Raw genomic sequence first — 13634 nt, forward strand, 5'->3', positions numbered from 1 at the left:
CATGATGTCAATGATTGGAGAGAACCACAAATTCAGTAGAATTACTTTTCAACCAAGACAGATACTTCTTAACTTACAAGTCACATATTTGAAAATATCTCTATTAAACATTAGAGTTGACATCTGAAAATCTTTTATAAGGGAAGTAATTTTAAACATAAGCCACTTAAAATACTCTATCACTCTCTGATAAGAGGGATCTTTAATATAATAATGATTAAAGAAGGTTCTTAATAGAACACTTCCAGGATAAATTTTGTTTAATATAATTATTCCCAATTCCCATATTGTCAAAAACAATTCTTTGGAAGAGGTACTCAAGTTAGTTATAAATTTTTTTAAATGTGTACCAAATAATAAAGAAATACTGCTTTCAAGCAGCAAAATCTGGACAGAATCCTAGTAACTGAGATGTCACCCAGTATTACTCAGAGTAAATTGTTTATTAAGACAAAATAGTATGTATTTTTTTATCTGAATTGATTCCTCAACTGAAAAATCTAAGTCCAGGAGAAAATTCCTATAAAATCTATTTGCTTTCCATAGTTAGGCAATGATCCTAGAAATATACATATACAGATATATGTATATCTGCAGATACACACACACGCACACACACACACACAGACATACACACACACACACATTAAAAACCCTCTCCTTCACATCGAAGGGCTCTGACCTAATTTCTGGGCACCGTGCCACATTTCTAGTCATTCAAATAGATGAGTCAGTACTCCCTGGGCCTCACTCTGGCTAGATCCACTCAGAGACCAAAACCTCTTCATCTCCTGGCAGACATTCTCAATGATGTTCTCATTTCATTTAAAAGCAAGATTCCTTCGATCCGCCTGTGAGGACTAAGGAAGAAAGCATTCTCACTCCATTTAATCATTTTACGCCACCACAGACTACCCAGCAGGGGACTCACGGCCCACTCTCTGTACTTTCAGGTAACTACCCTCGTTCACAGGTCAATAGTTGCTCTCTTCCTTCAGAAATAAAAATATTTACCTCCCACATAAAAGAGTAGTCATTCGACAAGTAGATTTTGCTTTTCATTACATAGGAAATAGGTGAAAAAACTTATAAAAGGACAGTATCTGCTGTTAACCTTTCTGCCCCTATTCAACTCCTGCTTTTCCTTGAAAACCTTAATTTCCAGAATAATCTAGGATCTCTTTTTTGGATAACAAAAGGAAGATTGGCAAACCACATAAGAATCACTTAAGGAGCAATGAGAAATAGCTAATGACTGAGCAAAAATTATTCAATCCTGATTCTCAGGTAGCAATTTTCCAGCAAGATACCGAAAATGTGTCAACTTGTATTCACATGGGTTACCAAATGCCTGTGACATCCCAAGTACTATATTAGACTCTTCTTTCAGGATCTCAAACAAAAACTCTGTGATGCGAATATTATTATCCTCTATTCAGATGAGAAAAGTGAGGTTGGAAAATGTGAAGAAACTTACCCAGTATCACACACAGAGTAAAGAACTTGTACACTCTTCTTAGCCTGGCCCATCTGATCACAAAGCTAGTACTCCTGCTACACAATGATATTTCCTCCCATACTTCTCTCTCAAGTCCTGCATATCCTTTAAAATTCAGTTCAAATTCCATCTCTTAAGACATTCCCCAAAAATGTTCTCAATCATAAGTGAACTTCCCCAGCCACGTATACCCATAGCACATCGACTGGTTTCCTCAGCCGTCATTTACCCGCAAGATATCAGAGTGAGTTTTGTGTGTTTCCACCTTACCACAAGAATAAGTCATTGGAGAGCAGGCTCTAAATCTCTTCTTTGCCCAAGAACACAAAGGTTCAGTGTTGAATTAAGGTGAATTATCACTTCCAACAAATCAACAACCTGATAGCTGCCTGTCTTCATTATGAGCATTTAAGCCCATCTCGCAAATGCATGGGATGCTGGTAGACATAGCAATCCCCTGCAACCTCACACATTTTCATCTTTGACAGTGAATTATGAAAATGTCAAAAATGTGGAACACACATTTCTAAACTCTAGAAACACTCCAAATTAGTATGTCCTTGTATTAGTCAGGGTTCTCTTAAAGGGACAGACCTAATAGGACATATATATACATATATATATATATATACACACACATATGTATATATATGTATAGGGAATATATATGTATGTATATATATGTATATATATACATGTATATGTGTGTGTGTATATATATATGTATAGGGAAGTTTATTAAGTATTAACTTACATGACCACAAGGTCCCACAGTAGGCTGTCTGCAAGCTGAAGGAGCAAGGAGAGCCAGTCTGAGTCCCAAAACTGAAGAAGATGGAGTCCAATGATGAGGGCAGGAAGCATCCAGCACAGGAGAAAGATGTGGGCTGGGAGGCTAGGCCTGTGTCTCCTTTTCACGTTTTTCTGCTGCTTTATATTCGCTGGAAGTTGATTAGATTGTGCCCACCAGATTAAGGGTGGATCCGCCTTCCCCAGCCCAGGGACTCAAATGTTAATCTCTTTTGCCAACACCCTCACAGACACAGCCAGGATGAATACTTTGTAGCTCTCAATCCAATCAAGTTGACACACAGTATTAACCATCACAGTCCTTAAAGTCTAAAACTCACTTAATGAAACACTCAAACAAATTTAAGAATTCAAGAACTGCAATCTCACATAATAACAAAGTGTATTGTCCTTGACTTTGTCCATTGATTCTGAAGAAAGGCTCTGGTCTTGTCTTCTGCTCTAGGAAGTTTATTGCCATTTCAAAACTTCATTTAAATTGAAAATAGATTAGTTCCATGTCAAAAAGCAGTGTCTACAAACTTGCTTCATGTCAACCTGTCTAAAGAGATGGAAACTTGAAAAGAGTATATTCAATTTAGAAGAGATCTTTAAGGGAATCTAATTTAGGCAATTTGCCTTTTTAACTTTATATTTATATAGAGTTAACATATATATATAACATATATATGTTATATATAAAGTTAACATATATAGTTAACATATATAACATATATAGTTATATAATGTTGAGCACAGAATCTTACTACGACCAGAATGCCTATTCTTCACTCCAATTCATTGAAAGAGAACATAGATGACTTTAAAGAAACATTATTGTTTTATATTTAAATGACCACATTACATGTATAATCTGGTAGTAAATCCATGACTTTTTGGAATCAAATGCCCTGAGTTCCAATTTCAGTTTTTCTGCCTACTATCAGAGATACCTTGAAAAAAGTACTTGACCTCAATATGCCTCTGTCTCATCTGCAAAATGGAAATAATAATGAAACCTACTGGATATGATTGCTGTGAGAATTAAATGAGATGATCCATGTGAAGGACCTAGAAGAGAAACTGGGACATGGCAGAAGGGGCCAGAACTACAAGTGTCTACACTTCTCTGGGCCACATGGCACAGGCCCTACTTAGAAATCCCTGCAGGACTTTGAATGTGGTGATGCTAAACTTTGCACAGAGATTCTGCAAAAGGCCTGAATAGGGCTGCCTTACTAGTAGACATCTGTAGTGATGGAGGGGGTTTCATCTAAAACTGTATGTTCTAGTGCCTATTGTATCATTTTTATTCCTTGGGATCTTGGAGATTTCTTTCCTTGAATAATCTCTATCAACGTATGTTTCCAAAAAGTTTTCTGGAAGGAGTTAAGTCTTAACTCACTGTCTGTTCATATCTTAATTATCAGTTCATAGCTGAACAGACATTAGTAAAAAGCCATCTGGAAGTACAAATGGCAATCAGGATAGAGTATTTCCTGAGCAAAACATAGACAGTGTGATGAGTTATACAGTAAACTGAGAATCAAAGAGATATCAAAAGAATATTGATAAGTAGTAAAGAGAGTCATTGACGAACTACCTTCTGCACATGCTGCATATCGTATAAAACAAAAGCGGTTAGAGTGGGGAGGGAGCTGTTGATCTGTACTTGCCAGAAAGATGTTGCTAAGAATTAAAGAGAAAAGTAGCTGACACACTTTATTTATTTATTTATTTATTTATTTATTTACTTATTTATTTAGACATGGAGTCTGGCTCTGTCGCCCAGGCTGGAGTGCAATGGCATGATCTCAGCTCACTGCAACCTCCATCTCCCAGGTTCAAGCGATTCTCCTGCCTCAGCCTCCCAAGTAGTTGGGATTACAGTCGCCCACCACCGCGCCTGGCTACTTTTTTTGTATTTTTAGTAGAGACAGGGTTTCCCCATGTTGGCCAGGCTGGTTTTGAACTCCTGACCTCAAGTGACCCGTCCTCCTTGGCCTCCCAAAGTGCTGGGACTACAGGCGTGAGCGACAGTGCCCGGCCAGTGACACACATTACTAAATGAAAAATGGTAAACATTTTTTATAAAGCTATTATTACATAAATCTAAAAACACTAAAAATTTTGGTTACATAGTATCTCTAAAATAACATTTCTGGCCTGGTGTGATGGCTCATGCCTCTTACCCTAGCACTTTGAGAGACTGACGTAGGAGGATCATTTTAGCCCAAGAGTTTGAGACCAGCCCGGGCAACACAGTGAGACCCCATCTCTACCAAAAAAAATAAATAATTTTTTTTTTAATTAGCCATTTGTGATGGCATGTACCTGTAGTCACAGCTACTCTGGAGGATGAGGTGGGAGGATCACGTGAGCCCGAGAGGTTGAGGCTGCAGTGAACCGTGATCATGCCACTGCACTCCGGTCTGAGTGACAGAATAAGATTCTGTCTCAAAAATAAAAATAAAATAAAAATCGTTTCTTTTTCAAATATATTTGTAAAGGTGCCCCGCCCCGCCCTGCCGTTTATATTTTTTTACATTAAGGAACCGCCAAAAATCCTTGCATGTGTGTGCTATGAATTGCCTTGTTGTGTAAGGCACTTAGAGGTCCGTAAGAACAGCCATTTGAAATGTGATTTCATACATCAAAACAATCTATTCCCACGGAGGAAGCTATGAATATCTCTCAACATCTTTTGGCCACCCGTGAACATCTCAGCATCACCAACTATGGAAAAGGAAAGATTAGTAATACATAACACATTTTTCATACCAAATCTCACTTTTCTTTAAGTACTTTTTCTTTGCAGGGATGTAAACTGACCCTGACAATGAATAAAAAATAAATAAATAAATAAAAGCACTAACTTCATATTTCAAAATGTCCTGTCAGCTGGTGTAAATGTCTACCTATCAAGTTAAGATCAAAAAAGTGAATGTTAGTGGGGCTAGTTAGCTATTAACAGTGTTGATTTGGTTCCAGTTTATGGATCCTGGTTTTCAAATAGGTAGTATCACATACTAAAGTTAACTCTGAAGGTGAAAACAAATCTCTATTCTCGGCTTTCTTCTATTATTCCCTCCTTTTTTTTTTTTAATTCTTTGTTGGACCTCCTTTATTCTTATTCTTTCAGTCCCCCAGGTCAACCCTTGTCTGTCCCTTGGTCTGATTTCTCTGTTTAGTGTCTCCATCTCCTCTTTCTACACTCTCCTTTTAAAGTCTCTTGGCTTTTGTTTTGTTTTGTTTTGTTTTTGACATGCAATCTTCCTCTGTCACCCAGGCTGGAGTGCAGTGGCACTGTGTCAGCTGACTGCAAACTCTGCCTCCAGGGTTCAGGTGATTCTCTTGTCTCAGCCTCCCGAGTAACTGGGAGTACAGGCGTGCACCACCACAGCCAGCTAATTTTGTATTTTTAGTAGAGACAGGGTTTCACCATGTTGGCCAGGCTGGTCTTGAACTCCTAACCTCAGGTGATCCACCTGCCTCGGCCTCCCAAACTGCTGGTATTATAGGCATGAGCCACCACGCCTGGCTGATTCTCCTTTTTAAAGCCATCTTCTGCCTCTCAGATCCTGCCTTTGTCGCCAGCATCCCCCAACTCACCTTACATTCTATTACTGCGTTCTCTCTTCACCCTGGCATTCAAGGCCTGCCAGAGTTGATCTGTTGGGGAAATGTGTATTATTTAAAGATGCTCTCTTACCCTAACCTAGTCTTGACCATCAAAAATGTATTTCAAGTGTAAGTAGAGGTGACTGATCTTGGAATTTTAGCAACTCCATGGAACAGCCTCCCAAAAACGCAAAGGAAATCAGAGCCTCATGTTTATTATATAACCAAATGCTTTTATAACATGTCCGGACTTTAAATCACTAATAAATTCTCCTTCATAGGAGTAGGACTTCATTTGCCACATTATACTATTTAAATGGGGATTTTTAAAATCCCCAAAGGCTGAGTTTAAGAAGAGAAAACAAAAACATCTATATAAGACAGTATCATTAGAGATGAAAAGAAAAGCTGAAATAATTACAGACCAGAAGCAAAGCTGTCATGAATTACCTTGGAATTTAGCTAGATGGTGCTGCAGCCTGTGTGTGGCTAGTTGCACAGTCCAGTTGCTGAATGGAAATCAACAGGCACGCAGATGGTTCATATTTTTTTAGGGTATAGAATTCCGTTAGGAATTAAAGAGACTACCTACCACAATTAGAATTTTTTCAAAAATCTAATTCTTCTGAGAATGACATTTTGCATCTTTGAAAAAAAGGAGACACCAATGAGGATTTATTATATACATGTTTTGACCCTGAAATAGAACCATCAGTATGAACATTCAGAAGTTTCATCCTCTTGAAATTCTTTCTTTTTTAGAAGTCTTTCTCTTTCATTAATCGTATCAACATGCTCTGTGTATTTGTCAAATTCTTCAGCTGAGATAACCGCTGTAATCACCCCAAGGATCTTAGGGATTTATAGCATTCTGCCAGAAGCTTCACCTTTGATCAAAACTGGCAGTCACCCAGCTGATTTCTCAAGAAATGTCTCCAAATTACACAATTTTAAATAGGGCCAATGCGCACACATGGTTCTACTCTGCACCACACAGTTTCACTACACATTCGGCTACAATATGGCTAACGTTTTGTAACATGTCATTATTCAGTTTTAATTATTGATTTAATTTAATTGTTTACATCTTTTCTGGTGCTTTGAAGTTTAAAGATCGGTCACTTTCATCCGGCAGCCCGCTAAAGAGGAAATTACTCCACGCTACTCACATCTCATCTCATGCATTTTAATTTAAAAGTGAGTCAGAGAAGCGGGGCCCAGTAGCTCACGCCTATAATCCCAACACTTTGGGAGGCCAAGGTGGGAGGATCCCTTGAGCCCAGGAGTTCAAGACCACACTGAGCAACATAGGGAGATCTCTAAAAAAGAAATTAAAAGTGAGTCACAGGTAAACTACTAACCAAAAGAAACGAAGGGATTTTAGTTGTGTGTGTGTGCATGTGTGTATATTTGGTGTGTAATTAGTAGTTCATATTTAATATTTTTAATTTTTCAGAAAAAAGTTTTTAAATTCTCTTCTATAAAACATGATGAAGATAATTATCACTGCCTCCAATTTCTTCCTGCAGAAATTAACAAGAATGATAGAATTGCAATTTATGTTTAGTATTTAAACAACTCTACCCTATAACTAATTAATCTGTAAAATAAATACCATATGTAGCTATACACATATCCATGCTCATGCACGGAATCTGTGACTACTTCAGATTTGTCCAACAAAAAAGTAAAAGTCAAATGTGTATCCTCTGTGCCATAGACTTTCCAAATTTGTTCTTTAGAACCCTATGGGATCCCCAGAAACGCCTTGCAGAGAGTAACTAGGCTGATATAATTTCCCTTATTCTTACTGCTAAGACCTTTACTATCTGCATAAAATACAAAAATGTAAAGACACACACACACCCCCTCTAGCTCTCTGTTCTATAATGTAAATAACTGGAATAGATGTTTAGTCTAAAATGTCACATTTAAGTTGTTTTACCTTGCTCTTTTGGACTTTACTTTAAATGCTTCAAATAGATACCCTATAGTGAAGGAGGGAAAGACTGAAAGAAAATCTTCTTCTGATTCTTTCTTATGGAATTCTCTTACAAGCGAAGATCAAATATATGTACAATGGAAGCACCCCAGATTCCTATGCTTTACAGAACAGCTGATGAGCCAGCTGCAATCCCCCAGCTAGAGCATCCCATCCATCCATCCCTTAACTCACTCATTCATTTAACATTTACTGAATACCAGCTATGAGCTAGGCACTGTCCTAGGCAAGGAATTAGAAATGAATCATAAGCAGTCCTCCAAGACCTCTAGAAATCCACAGTCTAAAATGCTTAGGCAGATACTTAAACAAATAAAGAAAATACAATGAGATGAGTGCCATGATGGAACTATACGTAGGGTCTGAACAGGGACAAAGAAAGTTCAAGATAGCCCAGGCTTCCTGGAAGAGGCAATGCCTGACATAAACCCTATCCAGAGAGTAGATGCTGACCAGGTGAAAAATTCAGCCCCAATAAAATCTCCTGTACTGGTGGAAGAGTCCTGAAAAGAAAGTGCAGAGACTGTGGGAAAATAGAAATATTAAGGGAAAATGGCTCTATAATTACATTCCACAAGTTCCATATGCTAAACTATTTCTAAATGATAGAAGAGAAAACCACAGGCTTAATACAGTCTGCTTAAGCGCCAGATAAAACCCTCGATTGATTTTATAACCTTGAGCAAATAATTCTTTGAGACTTGTATTCACTTTTTAATAAAAATTAGGAAATAATTACCTTACAGGATTGTAAGAATTAAATGAGCTAATGCACGTAGCACGTTATAAATATTAGCACCCTGCCCTCGCTTGTCTACAGGCTTCTATACCTAGAATAATACCAGACATGGGATATGGAGAAAAGTCATGAAGAAAAAAGTGTTAGATATAAAGTCAGAAAACCCAACTTGGTCTTCAACTCCACCAATTACTAAGCTCGATAACTTTGGATCAACTATGTACATTTTCTGAGCTGCATTTAATTTGATAAAGTAGAATAATAAAACCTCCTAGGCCTACCCAGACAGGGTTGTTGTAAATATTAAGTGAGATATACATTATGATGCTAACATAAATTAAAAGCAATTCAAAATGCTTTTAATTTCAAATTCAATAAATTTGAATGATCCAAATTCAATAAAGACTCTTTGACATTATATTTTTAGTAGATGGAATGTCAACAATGAATGTGTGGATGTGTGTATGTCTGTGTGTTTGTGCACATGTGTGTGTGTGAGAGAGAGAGAGAGAGAGAAAGAGGTTGCTAAAAAAGTAAATATATTGGCCCGGCATGGTGGCTCACGCCTCTAATCCCAGCACTTTGGGAGGCCAAGGCAAGCAGATCACGAGGTCAGGAGTTTGAGACCAGCCTGGGCAACATGGTGAATCCCCATCTCTACTAAAAATACAAAAATTAGGCGGGAGTGGTGGCGTTCACCTGTACTCCCAGCTATTCGGGAGGATGAGGCAGGAGAATCACTTGAACCCAGGAGGTGGAAGTTGCAGTGAGCCGAGATCGTGCCACTGCACTCCAGCCTGGGTGACAGAGCAAGCCTTCATCTCAATAAAAAAGCAAATATGGCTGGGCATGGCGGCTCACACCTGCAATCTCAGCACTTTGGGAGGCCAAGGCAGGTGGATCACAAGGTCAAGAGATCGAGACCATCCTGGCCAACCTGGTAAAACCCCGTCTTTACTAAAAATACAAAAATTAGCCAGGCGTGGTGGTACAGGCCTATGGTCCCAGCAACTAGGGAGGCTGAGGCAGGAGAATCACTTGAACCCGGGAGGTGGAGGTTGCAGAGAGCCGAGATCGCACCACTGCACTCCAGCTTGGTGACAGAGTGGGACACTTCTCTCAAAAAAAAAAAAAAAAAAAAATCAAATATATTGGTTCCCTTTGTTCCAAAATCAAGGTCAAAGTAATGTAATTTTCAAACACAATGATTTTCAAAGTACAATGCATTACTTTAAAAAACTGTTTGTATACTCTCTAATAAAAATCTAACAAAATGCTTTTAAAGAGAATCATTCTTAAAAACAATTTAAAAAGATAAATACAATAAAAAGGATGAAAATATCAACCCAGAATTTCACTAAAAATAGAATATCCAAGTAAACAGCCAACCAAATTGTAAAACTTTGATCAAATTTGTTAGAAATCAAAAATGCAAGTTAAAATGAATAAAATTCTTCACCTATTAAGTTGTTAAATAAGAAAAATAATTATAATAGCAGCATTGACCATTATGGGATAAGGGAACGGGCCTTGCACATCTCCAGTAGGAAGAAGAAATTAGTGCAGTCTTCCCAGAATGGAATTTGGGAATATGATTTATCATCCTCTAAAATGTTTTTTAATCTAAGTAATTAGGTTTTAGATTAATATGCTAAATAAAATCATAGATCAGCAATATGAGCCCTACAGTGAGTTATCATCATGCCACAGCACTCCAGCAGCCTAGGCGACAGAGCAAGACCCTGTCTGTAAAAAAAAAAAAAAAAAAAAAAAATCTGATTTTGAAGCATTATTTGGCATCATAGAAATGTATGGAAAATATCGCAAAGCAAAACTGTGTTTCCATTACCCCACTTTTAATATGTATATGTTTATTCCTTAGAAAAAAGACTTGAAAAGAAACAATGAAATATTAACAATTTTATTAGTTATCCTATTGCTGTGTAACAAATTATCCTTAAAACTTAGCAACATAAAACAATACCCGTTTATTTTATTACTGTTTTTGTGAGCCAAGAATCCAGGCACAGCTTAGCTGGTACCTGTGTTTCAGAGTTTCCTCACAAGGATCATGTTATTGACCAGGGCTGAAGTCTCCTCCAAAGGCTCAACTGAGGACAAATCCACTTTCAAGCTCACGTACATGGGTGTGCTCAGGACTCATTTCCTTGAGGATTCTGAACTGAGGGTTCTTTGCTGGCTGTTGCCAGAAGCTACTCTCAGTTCCTTCCTATATAGGCCTCTTTAACGTGCAACTTGCTTTATCAAAGCCAATAAGAGAGAGTGTCACTAGCAAGACAGAAGTCACAATCTTTCATTACTTAATTGCAAAAGTCGCATCCCCTCAATGTTACCATATTCTATGGTTAGAAGCAAATTACTCAAGGGGAGGGGAGTTTATAAAACTGTGAATGCCAGGTGGAGACCACTGAAGCCCCACAGAAGCACCCACCATGCTAGAGGATGCCTCCTTGTCTTCCTCACATCTCCATTTTTATATATATTATAAACATATTTCATATAAAAGAAAATAATTGTTTGTAAGTAAATGTAATAAATTGGCTAATCTGTTAATAAAGCATTTACAAAACATCTAAGAAGAGTCATTTATGTGGTTTGGCTGTGTACCCACCCAAATCTCAATGAATTGTAGCTCCCATAATTCCCTCATGTTGTGGGAGAGACCTGATGGGAGACAATTGCATCATGGGGGCAGTTTCCCCCAAACTGTTCTCATGGTAGTGAATAAGTCTCATGAGATTTGATGGTTTTATAAGGGGAAACCCCTTTCACTTGGCTCTCATTCTTCTCTTGTGTGCCACCGCGTGAGACCTGCCTTTCACCTTCTACCGCGATTGTGAGGCCTCCCCAGCCACGTGGAACTGTGAGTCCCTTAAACTTCTTTCTTTTGTAACTTGCTCAGTCTCAGGTATGTCTTTACCAGCAGCCTGAAAACAGACTAATACAATCATAAAACTATGTATTATGATAATATCAAAGAAAATACTCTTATTTATAGGCTAGCTATCTATAGAAGCTTTAAAAATTAAAGAAGAAAGGGACGGAGGGAGATAAAGGGGAGAAAAACAGCAATTTTATTGCCAAACACTTGGTGAATGGTTGGCTTTAAAAAATAAAAATTATGTCACGACATTAGGATATCTTTTAGCTATTCAGCCATACAGAAACATAAAAAAGTCAAAAAATTACAAATGTCAAGTAAAAAAATTAAATATAACCTATGTAATTATTATTGCAAAGTAAGAGCTATGTCTGTACCATTATAATTAAGCTTATAATTTTAAGCTTAATGAATAGTGATGTGGCAAAGGAATATTTTGAGACTTTGTTAACCACGTATAGTTGGACTCTCCATTGAAAAATTGGTGAAACAAACACATTTTTAAAAATAAAATAGCCTAGTTACACTTGAACAAATTAGTAAGATGCAAATAATTTTCTCACCTCAGATACTCCCAAAATAATTTATATAACTATATATATAGTTTCCTCTCTCACAACTATTATAAGGTGAATGAAATTATACAAATTGAATAAGCTCTCCTCTTTGACTGAAATACATCCTTATGCTGTACATAACCTCCTTGGGAAAGAAAACAGAGCTGTCTGTGAAAACAAAAGACCTGTGTTTCAGGCCAGACAGTTTATCTGATTAAGAAAGAGAAGGAGGTTTATAATCAAAAACTAATTCTCCAGCACCACACCGTAAGCTCTTCAAACAAGATTTGTGTCACTCTAGACTTCATTTACAAAGGTGGAGAAGAGTTTTTCAGCTCCTGGTGGTATTATTGTTCTTGATTGCCCCCTTTGGGCCCAATCTTTTGCAAAATACCAGGAACAAAGAACAAGTTAAACATACAATAGAATTAACAGAATAGTATAAGCAGCTCTACCTGCAACACACATGTAATTGGAAGCAATTTTACTAAATAAATACAACTACAGGTTTGAAAACAAATGTATATACCCCTCTTAGTAAGGTTTCTCCCCAAAATATATGAAAAGCTAAATTCACCCAAACAAAATTTTAACATAAAGGAAATAAGCTGATTGGAGATGCAATTTGCAAAAGAAAACAATCACTCCAAGAGGCGAGAGTGAAATAAAAATTATTTAGTTTGATTTTGAATACAAAGTTGACTGTTTCCATAGTGGATGAACAGGTATCAAAGATTCATTCTAAGATCTAAAATAAAGTTTCAGTTTTCTCTCTTGGGCTTAAAAAAAATACTACAACAGAAGTCAAAAATACAATGTGGCTCTGTGCCTCTTACCTACTAATAATATCTTTTGCCAATCAACTTTAAAGATATTTAAGAAGTTAGAGTTCAAAGACCATAAGGAAATGACTCCTGTATTATAACAAAGCCAAAGAATTATTTTATCTTTATCTCAGCAATAACATGCAAAGGCTTTTTCTAATGTCTAATGTTTCTCCTAACTTGCCTTTCTTCCCTTGAGTTTGCTACGGGGTGAGAATTTTTTTTTTCTGTAAGCAAAATGAGATTGAATCATTATCAAAGCAGCAAGTGTAGTTCCTCAGCTTAGTCACCATACTAACCACAGAAATTCCAAATGGTTGAACTAAGATGGGAAATTAAGTTTGCAACTGGAGTCAGGACATCAATTGTGTTTAAAGATTCAAGCTTTCCTTTATAAGTATTTATCAGTGACAGGACATGATTTATGACAAATTAAGATTTAGGTCTACAGTGTTCAAATCTTACCAAGAAGAACTTTATCAACATATAGTTAGAAAGAAAAGAGAGAAATTACAGTAAATTTTACATTAACTAACTCTCAAAATTCTTTATTCTACCACCAGGAGGCCTAATTCTAACCAGTTTCATCTCCCTACCCACTAGGCTTAGCAATATCTCTATTTCCCAAATATTTCCCAAACATCTGGACTCTGAATTCAAATATACCTAGAATTTGGATCCTGGATTTTTCATTTACTACTT

General features: G+C 37.1%; 1 long non-coding RNA gene across 1 annotated transcript in view, besides 1 other annotated feature; it reads right to left on the reverse strand.

Moving 5' to 3' along the window:
- Positions 1-13634, reverse strand: part of LOC105379297 (uncharacterized) — a 132858-nt gene that overhangs the window by 42251 nt on the left and 76973 nt on the right. The gene's annotated exons all lie outside the window — the stretch shown is intronic.
- Positions 509-1708: an enhancer, noted in NCBI's record as "P300/CBP strongly-dependent group 1 enhancer chr8:16683483-16684682 (GRCh37/hg19 assembly coordinates)". NCBI's record gives its function as "activates an origin of replication core promoter dependent on BRD2, BRD4, P300/CBP, MED14 and CDK7 cofactors, with strong dependence on P300/CBP, by STARR-seq in HCT116 cells {active_cell/tissue: HCT116}" and the evidence as "EXISTENCE:reporter gene assay evidence [ECO:0000049][PMID:35650434]".

This window comes from Homo sapiens, chromosome 8 (assembly GCF_000001405.40).
Source record: "Homo sapiens chromosome 8, GRCh38.p14 Primary Assembly".
NCBI classification, from domain to species: Eukaryota; Metazoa; Chordata; class Mammalia; order Primates; family Hominidae; genus Homo; species Homo sapiens.